This window comes from Homo sapiens, chromosome 11 (genome assembly GCF_000001405.40).
Source record: "Homo sapiens chromosome 11, GRCh38.p14 Primary Assembly".
Classification (NCBI taxonomy): Eukaryota; Metazoa; Chordata; class Mammalia; order Primates; family Hominidae; genus Homo; species Homo sapiens.
Window position 1 is genome coordinate 106,022,628 of NC_000011.10, and position 20,786 is coordinate 106,043,413.

Consider the following 20,786-nt stretch of genomic DNA (forward strand, 5'->3'; position numbering starts at 1 on the left):
AAAAGGGCAAAGAAGAAGTAGGAAACTTGTGCTGCTCCAGTCGGGTTCTTAGGCCAGCATCACCTTCTCCTCGACCAGCTGCGACCTAATTGGCCTCAGCCATTCCTCTAAGGCTGCCCGTGCCAAAGGTCGCTGGTGACTTCCTTATGGCTAAATCTAGGAGTCACTTCTTAGTCCTTATCATACTATATACTTCCCAGAAGACATTTGAATTTTTTTTTTTTTTTTTTTTTTTTTTTACCATTCTTCACTGTTTCCCCAAATATGTGCTTCTGCTTTCTTCTCTCCCAGTCCTCCTCTATATTCAAGTTTGCAGTTGCTTATTTTCTGCCGTCTCACGTTCAGGTGTTTGTGATTAGTGCACCTTTCTTCCCGCTGCCTCTGTCCAGGCCTCTGTGGACTCACCTGAATTCCATCAGTAGCCTCCTAGCTGGTCTCCCAACATCCTGTCTGCCGGACTGTAGTTCATTCTTCACGTTGTAGCCAAAATGAGCTGCTTAAAGTTTTTTAGTGGAATCTCACCACTGGTGATACAGTACAAACTCCTTATCGAACCTGAAAAATAAGGCACCTACTTTTCCCTCAACCTTCATCTCTCGACATTATACCCACATTTCTTCTTCCTTACCCCATTCCCTTTGCTTCTTTCAGTTCCTGAACTCTACAGTGGCTACTGGGAAGTCAGTTTGCATTGCTGTGTTTCCTCCCTGCTTCTCCGCTATGCCTAGCATTCATTTTTAGAAATTCCTTTCTAAAGGAAGGCTTCCAAAATTATCTCCATTCACCCTCCCTCCACTTCCAAGTATTCCCTTCCCTGTAGGTTTGCCAGATAAAAACAGGACGCTCAGTTAAATTTGAAGTTCAGATAAAAAGCAAATAATTTTTAATCTGTCCAATGGAATATTTGGTATCCATATGTTTATTTGCTAAATTTAAAAAAATAAAAATTTTTGTTTACTAAATCTGCAAGCCTACTTCAGCGAGCTCTCATCACGGCCTTTCCTCTGACAGCACTTCCCACATATTTTATGTGGGTGGGGCTTTTCTTGTTTACTGTTGTGAATAACACAGTGCCTAGAATGTAACAGACAAAAAAGATTTGGTAAATAAATGGTGGAATATTCTGGAGGAATGGTGCATCCTTGCTGGATATTCTTGGAGGAACTCTCCCATAAAATAGGAAGTAATTATGAAATATGCTCTTTAAAATGTAATGATCAGATTGATCTTACAGATTGTTACTTATGACTTTGTCAGTAAGTATAGACATGTTTGTCAAAGAAGCATGTCTATACTTTTGCCAAAGTAGATCAAAAGAAACTTGTAATTTTTGGAAAAATACAAGTTGTATTTTATAATTTTGGATTTTGTTCATGGTGGGTGGTGTTTTTTTGATGAGTGCAGTGAGAAAGTAAGATAACTAGCTATCCCCATCATAACCAGACACTATCAGTTCTGTTCAGAACCTGTCCACCACTTGACTCTGTTTATTTACCTCAGTAATGGGGACAAGAATGGTGAATCAGTATTAACAAACTTTTGCTTTCGTATCATGAACTCTAAGCTTTCCCCAATTAACCTCAGTCTCTTTGCTAATTGAAGTATCTTTTCCAAATACCCTCACTATTTCCTCTCAGCTACATCTTGTCTGAGTGGATATGGACCAACAATGAAGAATTTGAAGGTAATCCATAATGTGTACTATCAGTACTCCATGATCAACCTGTTTGCTGATTTAATTTTTCTTAAGTCCAGGCTAGAGATTTGACCCAAAGATACTTACACACTTACTTTACAACTGTGCTGTCCAACTGTGATAGCCAGATGAGTCATTGGAATGTGGCTAGTACAACCAAATAACTGAATTTTAATTTTATTAATTTTAATTAACTTTAATTTAAAAACTGATATTTGATTCAAGTTACTAGATACTTCTATTTGGAAAATTTGGGTTATGTGTATACTTTTTCAATTGTAAACTTTTTGAAATCTAAATATAGATCAAGTATTTCTGATTTAAAAATAGTGTCTGAATTGAGATGTGCTGTAAGTGTAAAATATATGCAGGATTCCAAGATTTAGCATGAAAAAAATAAATATCTCACTAATAATTTTTGTGTTGACTATAAGTTGAAATTATAATTTTTGCATAATTAGGTTAAGAAAAATATATTATTAAAATTAATTTTACCTGTTTTTAAATTGTTTCCAGCTTTATTGAGGTATGATTGACAAATAAAAATTATATATATTCATGATGATTTGATATACATATACATTGTGAAATGATTACCACAATCAATACATCCATCACCACACATAGTTACCATTATTTGGTGGGGGGGGGTGGGGGGGGGAGGTGAGGGCACTTAAGATGCACTTTCTTAGAAAATTTCAAGTAAACAATATAATATTAACTATAGTCACCATGCTTTATGACAGATTCCCATAACTTACTCATTTTATAACTGGAGGTTTCTTCACAACCCCCAGCCCTGGCAGTACCATTCTGCCCTCTACTTCTTTGAGTTCTACTTTTTTTTTTTTTCCTTTTAGAGACAGAGTCTCACTCTGTTGTCCAGGCTGAAGTGCAATGGAATGGTCATACCTCACTGCAGCTTAGAACTCCTCGGCAAACGTGATCTTCCCACCTTGCTAGGACCCCAGGCATCGCTGCCACATCTGGCAATTTTTTTTTTTTTTTTTTGGTTGAGACAGGGTCTCACTGTGTTGCCTAGGCTGACTAGAACTTCCAGCCTCAAGCAGTCCTTCCACCTCAGCCTTGCAAAGTGCTTACAGGTGTGAGCCACTGCATCTGAGTAGAATTCAAGTTTTTGTGATTCCACATATAGGTGAGATCATACAGTATTTGTCTTTCTGTGTGTGGCTTATTTCACTTAGTATAACGTCCTCTTGATGCAAATGGCAGAATTTCCTTCATTTTTACGGCTGAATAATATTCCATTGTGCATATGTATATGTATATGTATATGTATATACATATACACACCACAGGTTCTTTATGAACTCATCCATAGATGGACACTTAGGTTATTTCCATATCTTGGCTATTATGAGTAATACTGCAATAAACATGGAAGTGTAGATATGTCTTTGACATACTAATTTCATTTCCTTATTAATATATACCCAATAGTGGGGTTGCTGAATTGCTGAATTGTATGGTTGCTCTATTTTTAATTTTTTGAGGAACCTCCATACTTGTTTTCATAATAGTTGTACCAATTTCTATTCCCACCAACAGTGTACAAGGGTTTTCCTTTTCCCATGTCCTCACCAACACTTGTTGTCTTTTTAAAAACTAATAGCCATTCTGACAGCTATGAGGTGACGAGTCATTGTGGGTTTGATTTGTATTTCCTTGATGGTTAATGATGTTGATCATCTTTTCATATACTTATGGGCCATTTGTATGTCTATTTTGGAGAAGTGTCTATTTAGATTTTTTTGTCCATTTTTCAATCAGGTTATTTGTTTTTTTGCTATTGAGTTATATGAATTCCTTATATATTTTGGATATTAATCTCTTACCAGATATATGGTTTACAACTATTTTTATTCCATAGGTGCTTTTCCATTTGTTTCCTTTGCTGTACAGAAGGCTTTAAGTTTGTTGTAGTACCACTTATTTTTGCTTTTCTTTGTGCTTCAGTGTCTTATCCAAAAAATCATTGCCAAGACCAATGTCAAGGAGATTTTCCCCTATGGTTTCATTTAGGAGTTTTAGAGTGTCAAGTCTTGTATTTACATCTTTAATCCATTTCAAGTTAATTATTGTATGTGGTATAAGATGAGGGTCCAATTTTATTCTTTTCTATGTGGATATCCATATACAAAAGTTTTCCAACACCATTTATTGAAGAGACTATCGTTTTCACATTGCATATTGTATATATTCATTGACACCTATATCAAAGATTAGTTGACTGTATGTGAGTGGATTTATTTCTGGCTTCTCCATTCTGTTCCATTGGTATGTGTGTATGGTTTTATGCTAGTACCATACTATTTTGATACTGTAGCATTGTAATACAGTTTGAAATGAGGAAGTGTGATACCTCCAACTTTGTTCTTTTTTCTGAATATTTCTTTGGCTACTTGTGTTTTTTTATTTTTTTTAATGAGGCTAATAGAAAATTTGAACTTTTATGTTGATGTGGTTTGGCTGTGTCCCCACCCAAGTCTCATCTTGAATTGTAACTCTCACAATTCCCACATGTCTTGGGAGGAGCCCAGTGGGAGGTGATTGAATTACAGGGGTGGGTCTTTCCTGTGCTGTAATCATGATAGTGAATGTAACAGACACTCAAAAAATATTTGGTTAATAAATGATGGAATATTCTGAATGAATGGTAAATCCTTGCTGGATATTCTTGGAGGAACTCTCCCATAAAATAGGAAGTAATTATGAAATATACGCTTTAAAATGTAATGATTGGTGTAAGCTTACAGGTTATTACTTATGACTTTGTCAGTAAGTAGAGACATGCTTGTCTCTACTTACTCATGAGAGTCTCATGAAATCTAATGGTTTTAAAAATGGGAGTTTCCCTGCACAAGCTCTCTCTTCTCTTGTCTGCCACCATATGAGACATGCCTTTCACCTTCTGCCATGATTGTGAGGCCTCCCCAGCCACATGGAACTGTAAGTCCATTAAATCTCTTTCTTTTGGAAATTACCCAGTCTCAGGTATATCTTTATCAGCAGTATGAAAATGGACTAATACATATGTCTTTCATTTTATTTCTATCAATTGCTGTTCTAGACTGCCTGGCCACAGTTTATTAAAAGTCTCAGACTGGGAATATAATAAACTAAACTATTTCTATTTCATTGCTTATTATGTAACAAAAGAGAAGTAAAAATATCACTTTACTTCTCGTCTCCAAATGCAGTTTAGTTAAGAAAAAAAATAACTCAGCGAACATGTTATAACCCCTGTTGTACAATAACTATGCTTATTGGATTTTGCTATTGACTTTTTCCATTTTTGCCTTTGCAAATGCTGTTTTCTCTTCCTGCAATGCTCTGCCCACTCTTTTTCTTGTCCTTATGACATATTCTTATTTTCTTCAAAACTCACTCTTCCCTGACAACCTTAGAACAGATCAACTTTTCAATTTTCATAACAGTTTTAGACATATATATATGTTCTATTTAGATATAATACTGTACTTCTTACCTGTTTTTTTGAGATGGAGTCTTGCTCTGTCACCCAGGCTGGAGTACAATGGCATGATCTCAACTCACTGCAACCTCCGCCTCCCAGGTTCAAGCAATTCACCTGCCTCAGCCTCCCAAGTAGTTGAGATTACAGGCACATGCCACCATGCCCAGCTAATTTTTGTATTTTTAGTAGATATGCGGTTTCACCATGTTGGCCAGGCTGGTCTCAAACTCCTGACCTTATGATCCACCTGCTTTGTCTTCCCAAAATGCTAGGATTACAGGTATGAGCCACTGCACTTGGTCCTTTTTACCTTTTTATCTCCAGCACCTAGCATATTACCTGGCACCTAGGCTGGCAAATATATATATGCTGAATTTAACTGAATACTAGACAAAGTAAAACTCACTCTGTTTTGTTTTCTGTAGTGTTCCATCAAAGCACTTACAATTTTTGTTACCCATCAGGTAAATTACAATGGTTTGTAAAATAACATTGAAAGCTTTTCAACAGCAAATTTTGTTTCTGAAAAATTTACATTGAGTGGAAAACCAGTATGGTGCCTATAGAAATTGTTGCAATTATTTTCCTTTAGTTTTTTTGCCCCATATAAATGGTAAAAATAGGAAATGTTGGGACATTAGTTATGTTTATATGATAATCATTATAGCAAGAAGTAGGGATGACAGATTGAAGTTTCAAAGACCAGTCTGCTATCTTGAGAAGTCATATGGGTCCTGTGCTTGTAAATCTGCGCTTGCAATTTAGGACATGTGTCCTAATGACTTTTTATTTGGAGCTCATTTTGAAAAATCACTTTTGGTATATCTCTCCTGTTTGATAGTCAAAAAGGCCTCTTGTAGAACAATAATTTTAGTATTTCTGTAGTATGATCACCTGTTTCTTTGAGTCTCCTAAACAATGAATTTTATTTATGCAAAATAGCCTATGTTTTACATCACCCCACGCCAAATGCACCCTGAATATTTAGTGAAAATGGATCCAGCTGTCTTTGTATGATGATGTATCAACAGAAAAACAGATGCACACATTGTTAGTAGTAAAGACTATGCATGTTGTTGTCTCTATTTGAGAAATTACGTGTCTTTTTGTAACTTTGTGTTTATTTGCATGTATTCTTGATTTCCTTTTTATAAGAATTTCACAGATTTTTTTAATTGGAAGCTTTGCATTCACTGGCCAGTTCTCTTAACTCATTTAATAAATATTGAATATTATTCTGTGCCAAGCACTGATTTATGGCCTTCACATGTATTAATCTATTTAACTATTATAACAGTCCTATGTGGGAAGACTAGTAGCATTCTTCACATTTTTTCGATGAGGAAACTGAGGCTGAGATATTAAGTATCTTTCCAATGTTGCACAGTTAGTAAGTGGCAGAGCTGGAGTTTAAACCCCCGTAGTCTGTGCACTTAAAACCTCACACTTAAAATGATGTGATTGATACCTGCAAGGAGATTACTTTAAAAGTGACTAAAAGGCTTGAAAGGTTTTAGTGGAGTAGAAGGACAACAGAACTCCCTTCACAATCCACAGTCTTTTTTCTAACATTTGTTGACTATGATGTAAGCTGTCAAAGGAAGGAATCTTGTTGTTAATCTTTATTTTATCTCCAGCACCTAGCATTGACCTTGCATTTACTATTTATTACCAAAAAAAAAAAAAAAAAATAGAATTCAGGTTGTGGAATAGACAATGATTACATAATTACTTAGAATAGTAGCCTTACTCGGTTAATCCATCATTGTTTAGCAGCTGACTGAGAGCTCTTTCATCCCACATTGCTCATTGCTTTTAATCCACTTCTTTATCAATCTTCATGGTACACTTAGCCCTAAATACCAAAGACTGTGTTGCCTATAAGCAACGTTCTTGATTTTTTCTTCTATTTAGTTGATTCATGGAGAGTAAAACAGTCTGTGATCAATACACAATAAGAGCAATGCAAATGTAAATGGAATCCTAAGATTGCTAAGAAAAGTTGCCTTTCATTTAACTTATGTTGAACTCATTTAAATTTTTTAAATGCAAGAGCTATGATTCCTGGTAAGGCTTTCTGGGTTGTTCAGCAATAGAAACAATATGTATAAATGTTTTTTTCTGAAGAGGAAAAGGCAAAAGAAACAACAATCCCAATGCCTTGGGTGGCTGAGGCAGGAGGATCATTTGAGGCCAGGAGTTCGAGACCAGCCTGGGCAACATAGTAAAACCTCATCTCTACAAAACATTTCGAAAGCAGCTGGGTGTGATGGCGTGTACCTGTAGTCCTAACTACTCAGGAGCCTGAGGTGAGAGCAGGGGGTGGGATCACTTAAGCCCAGGTATTTGAGGCTACAGTGAGTTATAATCAAGTCACTGCACTCCAGCCTGAATGGCAGAGCAAGACCCTGTCTCTTAAAAAAATAAAGTAACATAATACTATTCTGGTTCCTGATTGTAAGTTTAAAAGTAGATGAGAATATAATGCATTTAATGTAATATATGAAAGCCTATCAAAACCCCAAGAGATATTTTTACTCCTTTTTTTGTCCCTTAATTGCCAATTATTCTACTATATTTCATTCTAAAAAGAAACAAAAAAAGATTATGCTCTTCCTTCTGCAATAATATTGGATGTTAAATTTTAACAGGTCATAAATGAAAGCTGTTTTTATATGTATTTAAGATAAAAGGCTGATTTTTAATAACAAAGTAACTTTTGTTCTACTTTATGGATTTTTCCTCTTTATTTTTCTACTTTTTAGGCATGTTTTTCAGTTTGATTAAATGCCGCACAGTGTGTCTCATGTTATCTGTGTCCTAGTGCTAGAAGACATTCTAATACATTTTGTGTATTGATAGTACTGGCTCTCCCTCCTTCTTGGGGGATGAACAGGGCTTTATTTTAATACAATTTGGAAATGGTGTCAGAATTCAAGGTTTTATTACTATAGCAACAGAGAATAATGGAAAAACTAAATGTCAAACATTCGATGTTGCCATAGTAACAATCAGTTGCTTTACCAGATATATTTACTATTCCATTATGGTCAGTTTTTCAAATATGCTTATCCACGTGAATGCTCGAAAAGGGAAGAAAAAGTTCAGAATCATTTAAGAAAGAAAGAAGCTCCTCAAGAGATGAAAGTAATTTGTTTCACTGCCCATTATTTAGTAAGAAACTCACAGAATCCACGAAAAAAGGATATAAAAGAAACAGAAATTCACATTTCTGTCCTAATAAGTATTCTTTCTATTTGCAGTCAGAGAAATTGAAGCATGGAGTTTAAGGCATGTCTATTTTGTCATTTCATGCTATTTCAAACCATTTTCTCAGAGCTTCTGAAAATAAGGGATTCTGCCATATTGAAATGGAAAACATTTTTCCTTCTTAAGCAATGCCATTGAGGGCACATGCCTGCCAAACAATTGTACTGACCCTAAAGAAACTCCTTAAAGCAGGCAATAGTTTATTCTTGTCGATCTGATTGTCTTCCTTTTCCTTTCAGAAGCCTCCTCCCCTTGCAGACAAAACATTCTCATTATAGTAACTCATCAAGACCATTACTGCTATACAGCTTACTAGTGACCTTGTTCCATACCTGTCTCTTCCTTTTCCCATAATTATTTTCACTAGACTAAACCCAGGGAGGACAGGGGTGATGCTCATTTTCACCATTGGAAATGTAGTTTTTAGCACAATGCCCAGCACATTGTAGGACATAATAAATATTAGTTGAATGAATAAACTTCCATTAAAGGATATCCTTTGTTTTAGTCTCTCTAAGGCTCTACCGGATGACTGAAACACTAAACTCAAGGTATTTTGTAAATAAGCAACAATGGCCTAATGAGTCACTTTTTTCAAAGTAGAAACTACTTTAGAAATGACTGGCATTTTCTGATTCATCTGGGAGGTGGTTGTTGACAAGTCAAGATGCACTTATTCTATGGATACAATTTGCTAAATGGTAGTTAAGTTTCTGGATTGACTAGCAAAACTATATGTAATGCAAACTGCTCCTTGGCTATAAATAAAATAGTATCACTTTAATAGTTTCTAATTCCTTTCATAAAATTATTTCAGTTCTTCAAAATGAATTGCCATCTCCAATTCAGGATTTCAGGAGCTTATCTCTACCAGCCAAGAATGGTAGTTCTGGCAACAGGAAACATTCCCACGTGCCACTAATTTGTGGCTAATTATACTTCTATGGTAGGAAGGATAACATCCCCTGAAAGATGTCTAAGTCCCAATTCCCAAAACATGTAAATATGTTACCTTATATGGCATAATAGACTTTTCACATGTGATTGAGGATCACGTGATGGACAAATTATCCTAGATTATTTTGTTGGTCCAATTTAATTGCAAGGTTCCTACAAGTAAAAGAGGGAGGAGGAAAGTGAGTGTCAGAGCAATGGCTGTGTGAGAAGACTCCACCAACCAGTGCTGGTACGGAAAAGGCAGTAAGAAGCCCATGAGCCAAAGAATAGGGAGAAGCCTTTAGAAGCTGAAAAAGGTAAGGAAATTAATTTTAATCCAGTGACTCCAATTTTGGACTTCTGACCTCCAGAACTGTAAGATGATAAATTTGTGTTGTTTGAAGCCACTATGTTTGTGTTGATTTGTTACAGCAGCAATAGGAAACTAATACAACTTCCAGATCTATTTAAGGGAAACGAGCTTTCAAAGAGCAATGGTTCTGAGATGCTTTGGATTTAGCCCACGTAACATTGAGTTACAAACTCTTAGCTCACCCACTACAGCTATCTTTATTTTCTAGTGAGCAAAAGAACTCCAATCATATTGAAGAGGAAAAAACTAAAAATAATAATGAGAAATAGCAATCATAAAAAGACAAAAAAAAAAGCAAAAGTAAAAATTGTACAAATACATTAATTAATAAGAATCAAAAACCCCAACCAGGTTAAATCAACATGGATGATTCAGTAATAATTAGTTTTTCTCTGGAAAATTTTGGGGATTCTAATGATATGCATATCCATTTACGCAGAGGGACTTTGAGTGTTGTCAAGCATTTTGTGCAGTCTGATTCTAAGTGACCTCATGATATGTTAGTTTCAGTTTATGAGCATCAAATTTTATTATCCCTTAAAGGACTCCCTTAGAAGGTTACTCAGAATTTGTCCTTATCAATACAAAAAATTAGTCTTTGAAATAGACTTGTAAGAACTAAAAAAATAGCCCTTGGTTTGGAACACCTCCAGTGCAAACAGTAGGAAACCAAACTTTGAGAAACAGCGCGTAATCATTCTTCCTGCAAGTCTTGTATAATGAATTGGAGACAAAATCCCACTGTGGCATAAGATAAAGAACTATAAAGAGGGGTTGAAGGGAGGTAGGAAAAAAAGTATTTAACATGTTTATTCTCAAGAGATGATCACACTCATTAGGTAGATCACTGTAAAATTATTCTTTTTCTTGGGACACTTGGGTTTGAGCTTTTATTTTTTATTTCATCTATAATCTTTCCAAGTGTATCTCTATAAGATAAGGAATACTATACCATTATTGCACCTTACACAAATGACAATTGTTACAATTGAATCTAGGTATTAGTTACCTTACCAGATAAATATGTGGCTGTGATGTGCTTACATGCTGTATTTTCCAAAAGCTTTATAGAGAACTGACAACAGATATTCCAAAGATTAAGATGGGAATCACTAGACACACAGGAGTAGAAGTGTCTCCGTAGGGTAATCTAGTTCAAATAGCTGAATATTCGGATCCCATTACCCCAACAGCACTAAACTTTTCTAGCTAAATTTCTTTGGATCCTTTAATTAATTATCATAATAAGATTTCAAGCCTCTTTACCCTTTGGGCCTTTAGAATACTTCTAGTGTTCTACCTCTTTTCAAATGTAATACACAATATTCTAGACATAAAAGCCGTATTCTAAATGGAAACTCCTGTGGCAGAGTAATCAAATGATCATTTTTCTTCTTCTGGATATTAAACTTCTATTAATGAAATCTAAGATTACATCAATCTCTTGATTATCTGTTTTGATTGTCACATTTATTTATTCAACAAAAATTTATTGGAGGCCTACTATGTAAACAAACAAAAATCCCTGTTCTTACAGAGTTTACTCTCTATGACCTATATCATTGACTTATAAATGTATAAAATCTAAATTTACTTTGAACTTATTTTGAAATATACTTCTAAGATTCTGCCAGCTTCACTCCTGCTATAAGTCACTGCTTTTCCAAATGGTGTCTACTTCTCTGTTCTGACAACAGTTTTCAAGATTTTATAGCTTACCGTGTGTAAGAGTCACCATTTTTTCACGATCAACAGATCTTCAAATAGAAATATTTTTATACACTTTTTATACTTGCCATTTAACTAAAAATTATTTATGAAAACCATAACAATTGAAAATGAGCAGGACTACAGTGAAAAACCTAGAAAACAAGGCAACAATAACAAGAAACTAAATGATACAACTTCAGCACTTTTAGAATGATGAAAAAAAAAATATGCACAAATACAGGAAGCCAAGCATTGCCTTATAGTTAATTGCCAAAATGATAGCAGTGCACTGCTGAGGACAATTATTAAGAAGCACATCACTTGGCATTTTCTGTGTTGGCCATTTGATTATACTTGTTTCCATTTGTGCATGTGGACTTTGGACATTTTTTAAAATTATGCTGCAAAGAAAGCCAAGCATGTTTTTTTTTTGTTTTATATGGTGAAAAAAATTGTTTTGCAGCATCACTGACTAAAGTAATAACTGTTATTTCAAGGCACTTTTCAAAAGCATGAGGCACTACTTTTGCTGGGAAGCAAAGATACCTAGGGTCATTTGACAAACTAATCCGTAGGGAATTTCTCACAGCTAACAAAAGAAAGGGTCTGTTCAAAATTCTAATATGACTGGTTGTGTTTCTCCCTCACCCCCAGCTCTAAGCAGTTTTTAAAACTTTGCTTCTTCAGTGCTTTTAAAAACTGCTCTATCCTATCTCCTCTGTGTTCAGGTGCTCAACATCTTTTGCCTATATAAAGGAATGATCCCCCAAATAACTCTCCACTCCAATCTATCCCCATTTGCTCTTCTGCAGATTCTCATCTTAAAGCATAGATCCCATCTTGTTTCCCTCTTCCTCAAGAACCTCTTATCCTGCTTCCTGATGTTCTTTTCCATACCAACATCTCAACTTCTGAGTCTTTACAAGGTAATTTCCATTTATATTTCTTGACACCAACAGGCAGGGGTTCTTTATTCTCTGCCTGTACCTTTTATCTGGGATTTTGTTCACACAGAGATTTTTGTCTAGTGTTATTGTTTGCTTAGGGGGAAGTTGGGGGGCAGAATGGTGGGGTCTATATGCTAGGCTGCAATACTTGCTAAGAAGTGGGTGAGTTTCTGTGCCTTTGGCAGGAAAGTAGGTTATTGTGTCTTGGATAAGCACTGAAAGTTGGCAAAAAGAATAGACAGGACAGTGGAGACTGCCTGACAAACAAACAAACAAACAAACAAACAAACAAAACTTCAAAGACAGCACAGGAGGAGGGGTTTATGTGGGAACTGGTGAAGGAAGAGCAGACAGTTGAAGATCTGGTTGGGTAGCAAGCTGGGCCTAGTTATACAAATAGGTGTCAGGTTCACAGCAACACAAGGACTTATAGTAGAGGCTATATAAAAGGTGAGTTTTGACCATTTCTCTATGCATAATTAAGTGAGCTTGGTTCGTAAGAGCAGTATAAGATATTGCCTATTCATGGCTGAATTAGAAGTTTAATCAGATAGAAATATTTTAGCCATTAATATACATGTTTAAAATCTCATGCATTGATTGATTAGTTGTTGTTGTTTTTCCTATCAAGCAGTTTTGTGTAGTGGAGACATCATTGGATGTCGATTCAAAGAGGTTTGAGTTTGTGGAAGATTATATATTGCGAAAATGGCTGCAATATCTCCCATCCCCCTCAGTGTTCTCCTGCAAAGTGGCTTTGCCACTCCCCAATCAAGAGGAGTCTACTTCTCTTTCTTGAATCTGCACAGGTCCTGTGACTATCTTGACCAAAACAAAAAGAAAAACAAACAAACAAACCCAACAACAAAAAACCAGCAGAAGTAATGCTACACCAGTTCAGATATAGCCCTTAGCTGGCTTGGCAGTTTCCACTTTGCCCTCTTACAAAGCAGCCACCATATCAGAAGTTTGGTCACGCTGATACTACCAAGCTGTCAGAATCCCATGCATTGTGGATAGGTCCTAAAGGAAAAGATGTCACGTGGTGAAGAAAAGATGCCGAGAAGCACTGAGGCAGCAGACAGGTAAGTGAAGAAACCACCTTGGAAGTTGAATCCTCACCATCTGCCTCTAATGCTTCATAGAACATAAACAAACTACAAAGCCAAATCTTTTTGGAATTCCTGATCCACAAAATGGGGAGGGAGGGAGATACAATGATGGTTCTAAACCACTAAATTTTGGGGTGTTTTGTTAAACAGCAGTGGATAACCAAAATAGGATTATTGTTTCATTTCTGTCATTTAGTAATCCAGTAACTGAAGTTTTTCACCCACATCTATAAAATGTAGACATTGATCCTGGTCTGTCTACCTCATGTACTTGCTGTGATTTTCAAAGAAGATAAATAGATGGAAGTATAGTGAAGGCAAGATATTATTACTGCAGCTTGAAAAATCTCTATGTCTATAAGACTGATTTGTATGTGTCCATTACATGTTTTCATTATCTCATGATGGTTCTTTCCAATTGTAAGCATGGATATTTGAGATTAGGTAACTGTATTTAATTTGCAGACTTTGAGATAGGTTTCAATTTAGGCGGAATATCTTTTTATTATATATATAATTTACACTATTATGTTGTTCTGATAATATTTTAAGCAATTGCTAGCATTTTCCCCTCAAATATATTTTACATTACAGTCAAATATGATTAGAAAGCATCCCTACATTTTTTAAATGATCAAAATGATTTTCCAATCATTTGAACAAATCACAAAGCCTTACAGGAATTCTATGGCTCATTGTTTCTTGACTAAAGTAATTTGAAACAGGAAATAAAAATCAATTCTGCTTCTTTAAATAATAGAAAAGCTAAGGAGAAATTAAAAAAGCAGTAAAATAATATTGGCTGTTTTTATTTCTATAGAGCAAGCATATTTTAATTTACAGTCAGCAGAGAGACTCTGCAAAATTGGTCAATAATGTAGTTGGGTCACTCTCAAACTTGGAGGCATTCTGGTTAATGAAGGAAGGGCTCCCTTTTCAATTATAATTCCCAGCGATAATAACCTTATAATGTTGAACAAAGGCTAAATGTGTATTTCTTCTAGTAATAAAATAGAAAATATTGACCAAATAAAGTATCAAAACTGTGCTACTTCCAAGCATGATATCTTGGAATTGAGTGTTCTAGTCAATTTAATAATCTAGTTAGTAAAAATTTTCATAGAGAGACAATGGAGTTTCAAGAAAATAGGTTCTATTCTAAGCTCATCTTCTTACTAGTTGTGTGCCCTGGGGCAAGATATACAACCACCTATGCCTCAGTTTACATTATCTGCTGCCACATAAAATGGAGATTATCTATATGATTAGGGTTATGATGGTTAAGTAAGAAATAAGTGTAAAGTACCTATCATTATGCTTTATGTCACAGAGCTTTAATTGGAATTTGTTGCTGTGATATGTATCCTGTGGACAGAATTGGCCCCATTGCTGGATGTGTTGCTAATAGCCTTGACACTTCTATAACCTCTGTTATCAGTCCTACTCTTATTACTTGTTATTGCACCTGCTGGGTTAGAGGCAGAACTTTTCTTCGTCAGAGGCTCCTGAAAAGATATTTTAGGTTTTCTTATAATCCCTTTTTCTAGATAAGCTTTCCTTGTGCTTGGTTAGTGGAAACTTGAATCCTGCCTCCAGTCCATTTCTCCACCTGCCCACTGTCAGAGAGCCATGAGATGTCCTAGTCCTGGGCCAGCTACTGCTGCTTCCTCTGCACCACCTGATATGGTTTGGATATTTGTCCCCGCCCAAATCTCTTGTTGAATTATAATCCCCTGTGTTGGAGGGGGCCCTAGTGGGAGGTGTTTGGATTATGGGGTTGGATCCCTCATGAATGGCTTGGGTCATCCTGTTGATGATAAGTGAGCTCTTGCTCTGAGGTCATATGATATCTGGTAGTCTAAAAGTGTGTAGCACCCCCCCACACACACTGTCTTTCTTGCTCCCATTCTTGCCATATGATATGCCTATTCCCCCTTTGCTTTCCACAGTGATTGGAAGCCTCATAAGGCCTCCCCAGAAGCAGATGCTGCTGTGCTTCCTATGAAGCCTGCAGAACCATGAGCCAATTAACCTTCTTTTTTAAATAAATTGCCCAGTCTGCCGTATTTATTTGTATCAGTGCAAGAACAGCCTAACACACTACCCATTAGACACACACAACACTTCTTTGAGACTCATAATTCTAGTGTCTCTTGTTTCACAGCCCCAAAATCTGTAGATGCATGTGACCAGGACTTCTAGTGAGCTATCCCTCCTCATGCTAGACTTTCCAGTAGGTTCAGTCTCTTTACTAAAGCCTTTTGGGACATTGCACCTAAAGGTTTGGATTGCCTGTAGATGATTTTCTATGTGAAATCATTCTTTTTGTACCTGCTGGTCTTGCTGAAGTCACCTACTGCATCAAGTCAGAGGTCAGATCTGTGGCTAGGCTTACATTGAGAATATCATATGGCTAATGCAAACTCAGCCTAGGTATATAATGCTTCTTCTTTGATTTACATTTCTAACATGGTAAAAGAAACCAGGACAAAATGAGAAAAGAAAGAAGAGTGCCTTGAATTTTACTCCATTTAAGAAAAAACATTTCAGCAAGTAGGCCACATATATTTGCATCTTTAAAAAATTAAATCAATACAGTAATCAAACAAAAATCCATTAAGCTATGAAACAGCAGAGCTACAAATCTACGTTCTTTTTAATGAATGCATTTAATCGTTAAGGGATAAAATGTTCAAAGGGAAAGCCAAATGTGTCCTTGGTTTTAAATAGATTTAACCTTGAAAATACTATTTGTATATTCAGCCTCTACCGCTAAAAAGAAATTATTCTCAAAAATGCAATTTACCTTACCAAAAAAAAACCCAAAACATTAAATACTGTTTTTGAAAATGCTGAAATATTAAACATTCACTGGACATCCACAGGATGGACAATACTCTATTAGGTACTTTTGGACCACGGTAATTTTAGTTAGAGCAGTTCTTGTCCTCAGAAGGCTTAGAATGAAATAAGGAAAGAGGTGGGTGAACATTAGATATAGTAAAAATATGTTAATTTAGTTAATATTAAGTATAAAATTTGTTAGATCATAAATTAACTACTATTTTAAAATTCTTACTTTATACTGTTCTCTATACCTTTAAGTATGCATCCTAAGTTAAAAAGCCATAGAATTTTATTTGAAAAGAAATATATAAAGTATCATAATTAGAAAGAGAATCAGTCTTCAAAACTAATCCTTATATGATACTATTCTGTGCCTGATACTATCTAAAGGGTTCTATACATATTAACACTGAATTCTCATGATGATACTATAATGAAAACACCACTATTATTCCCATTTCTCAGAGGAAGAAACTGATCACTAAGATGATAAACAACCCTCTGGCTCCTTGTACCAAATTCAGGTAAAAGAGGAATGACTTGTTCAAATCAAAATAATTTCACATTGCAAAATTGATTTTTAAAACTTTCAAATATTCACAAAAACAGGACAAATGAAAGTGTAGGACAAAAAAAAAGGAAACCCAGTAGTTTAAAGAAGAGTTTTGAACTGAATTTTGAAAATAAAATTTTTGTTATAGGCATTTTCCTGATTAAGTACCTGCTTTAAGCCATTATAGACTAATATATTAGCAGGAATTAGTTTATGTCAGAAAAATAGGATAAGGAGAGAAGGCCAGCTGGGCATAGTGGTGCATGCCTGTAGTCCCAGCTACTTGGTAGTTGAGGCAGGAGAATTGCTTGAACCTGGGGGGCAGAGGTTGCTGTGAGCCAAAATTGCACCACTGCACTGCCAGGGTGACAGAGTGAGACTCCATCTCAAAAAAAAAAAAAAAAAGATTTCATGACAAAGACACCAAAAGCAATTTCAACAAAAGCAAAAATTGACAAGTGGGATCTAATTAAAGAGCTTCTACACAGAGAAATAAACTCTCATCAGAGTGAACAGATAACGTACAGAATGGGAGAAAATTTTTGCAAACTATACATCTGACAAAGGTCTAATATTCAGCATCTATTAGGAACTTAAACAAATTTACAAGAAGAAAAAGCATTAAAAAGCGGTCAAAGGACATGAACAGACACTTCTCAAAAGAAGATACACATGCAGCCACCAATCATATGAAAAAAAGCTCAACATCACTTGTCATTAGAGAAATGCAAATCAAAACCACAGTGAGACACCATCTCACACCAGTCAGGATGGCTATTATTAAAAAGTCAAAAAAGAACAGATGCTGGCCAGGTTGTGGAGAAAAAGGAACACTAATACACTGTTGGTGGGAGTGTAAATTAGTTCAACCATTGTGGAAGACACTGTGGTGTTTCCTCAAAGACCTAACGACAGAAATACCATTCGACCCAGCAATTCCATTACTTGGGTATATACCCAAAGGAATATAAGTTGTTCTGTTATAAAGACACATGCATGTGTATATTTATTTTAGCATTATTCACAACAGTAAAGACGTGGAATCAACCTAAATGCTCATCAATGGCAGACTGGATAAACAAAATGTGGTACATATACAACATGGAATACTATAAAACCATAAAAAAGAACGAGATCATGTCCTCTACAGGGACATGGATGGAGCCGGAGGCTATTATCCTTAGCAAACTGAATCAAGAACAGAAAACAAAATACAGCATGTTCTCACTTATAAGTGGGAGCTAAATGATGAGAACACTTGGACACATAGAAGGGAACAACACCCACTGGGGCCTATCAGAGGGAGTAGGAGGAGGCAGAGGATCAGAAAAAATAACTAATGGGTACTAGGCTTGATACCTGGGTGATAAAATAATCTGTACCACAAACCCCCATGACACACATTTACCTATGTAACGAATCAGCACATCTTGCACATATACCCCTGAACTTAAAAGTTTAAAAAAAGAAATATGCAAAAAGAAAAAACAATGTTATATGAGTCTAACAATTCCATAAGAAATGTATAAAACCAATGAAGTTCAAATTTAAAAAATGGCAGCCAGTGAATTGTATCTTTGTTGTTTCTTCACCTTTTACAATATGTCTTTACTGTTTGCTATGGAGTCTGTTGAAATCTGTGCTGTTTTGTGAATTGCTTGGACCAACAGAATGCAATAGTAGTGGTATCTGGGACTTCCAGGGCCAGGCCTTGAGACCCTGTAGCTCTGTTTTCAGTTAGAGGGAAGCCAACCACCATGGAAAGAAGTCCAGGCCATCCTGCTGAGGAGAGGGGCCCTAGAACAGTGCTTTCCAATAGATTCCTGTTATAATGGAAGTACTTTACATTGTCCAGTGTGGTAGCCACTAGCCACATGTGGCTATTGGGCACTCCAAACATAACTTGTAACTGAGAAACTAAATGTTAAACTTTATTTAATTTTGATTAATGTAATTTTCTATGTAAAAGACATACATGGCTAGTACTTACCAAATTGGTAAGTGCACCCCAAAGGAAAGAGGTCACATGAGGAAAGAGGCCACATGAAGAACTAACATGTCCAAAATGACTGCCAGCAACAAGGCACCAGATGTGAGAGGCCTCCAACCCTAGTTAAATCTCCTAGCTGACACCAAATGGAACAAAGACAAGCTGTCCCTGCTGAGCCCTGCCCAAATCCCTAACCTAGAGAATCACAAGCAATAAGATTGTTTTCAGCCATTGAATTTGAGGTATTTTGTAATTCAGCAATAGGTGACTGATATAGACATGGTGACTGCAACAAGGTCCTGCCATCCTAATGAGGACCTGTCTGGTGGAGCCAACTGCCTTTTTCCAGGTGATATCTTATGTGTCCATTCAAACTATGATGCTGTTATTCCACAGAAATGTTGACTGCATGTAGGCCCCAGCTTAAGAAATTAAGGTGCTTGAAATAAAAGATGCAAGGAATCAAACCCATTTTCTCTTATTAAGCATCAGGACCTTCATATGCAGGTTTCAAAGAGAGGTCATTATCATGGGAATGGAAATTTATAACAACAAAGTCTGGGCTCCAGCCACTGGATTTGAGTGTTTCTTCTTTGTTCTCAACAGAACCTGTAAGTCTGGATCCCTCCTACTCTCCATAAGATAGCCTTCCACCTTTTTCTTCTCAAAGACACAGATTGTCATAACTCTGGACGTATGTAAGTGTAGCATATGTAAGGCCAGAGATGTTAGCTGAGCAGACCAGGGCTGAGGAGTGACAGTTTACAGCAACTATTGATATGACTCCTCTTGTAGAATCACTAATTTCTCTCCTTCAACTGTCACCTTTTTTACTGAATTCCTGACTCTGCATTGTATAAATGTCCTCAATATTCCTGGTCACATGGCATTTTTACTACTTGACTCCTTGCCTCTGCTTTCTTTTACTCTCCTGGTGATACATTAATTACATTTTCAGGATCAAGGAGAAATACTAAATAATTAATGAGAGGAATCTTTGTATACAACTGGACTTTTTAATGATTGACTATTCTTGTTTTATAAATATTAATAAGCTGACCTCTGCACACTTTCAAGTCTGATATTATTTTGGTGAGGATATATGATGGTGAAACAAGTGAGAAACGGTATTCTCATTTAGCTTATCAGGTGAAAAAATATTAAAGTAATACCCTGTGTGATATATGACTGCTTGCCAACATAAAACATTATATATGGCTGGATGCATGTACCAGGGTAGGAGATTATTGAGAAAAAAACTTTTGGATTTTGTTCATTCAAAAATGTATACATCTCCTGCATTGCACTTTGTGAAAATAAGTTATTAAATATATTAAAAATTCCTTGTAGGCTGCTAAGATCTCTCACCCATTTAATGACCACTCTAGGCTCTGTAAACTGATTTTCTAACTCCCCTACTCATGGGTGAGCAGGAGAGCTGAGCTTCATGCTTTGGCTGTCGTCAGTCACAGAAGCCCCTGTTGATCTTGAGAGCTGTGAGTCAAGGAGCAAAGGGGAATGTTCATCTGGGCAGAGCAGATGTGGAAGCTAAGGAACTTTTGAAGGTTTAAGGTCCTGGGAGAGCATGGAGAACAAAAATGGGGCCAAATTGAAAGTGTTAGCAATAGAAGCCAGTCAAAATCAAGAGATTCACAGAAACAGCAGGATGCTCAGTGAGTCAAAAATAGGAAACACACTGGTTTTCTTGCCATAATAATCCCAAGCCTAGTATAGTGACAAACACAGTAAAAGCTCAGGAAATTGTTGTTGAATGAATTAATTAATAAGTGAGAAACTCATGGTTGAGTCTAAGAGGGAATGTTTAGAACCAAGTCAAAACTAAACTGTGCATTAGG

The 20,786-nt window shown here is 36.1% G+C and overlaps 1 annotated feature.

Moving 5' to 3' along the window:
* Positions 85–154: an enhancer, noted in NCBI's record as "active region_5464". NCBI's record gives its function as "activates an Ori minimal core promoter by ATAC-STARR-seq in GM12878 lymphoblastoid cells {active_cell/tissue: GM12878}" and the evidence as "EXISTENCE:reporter gene assay evidence [ECO:0000049][PMID:35858748]".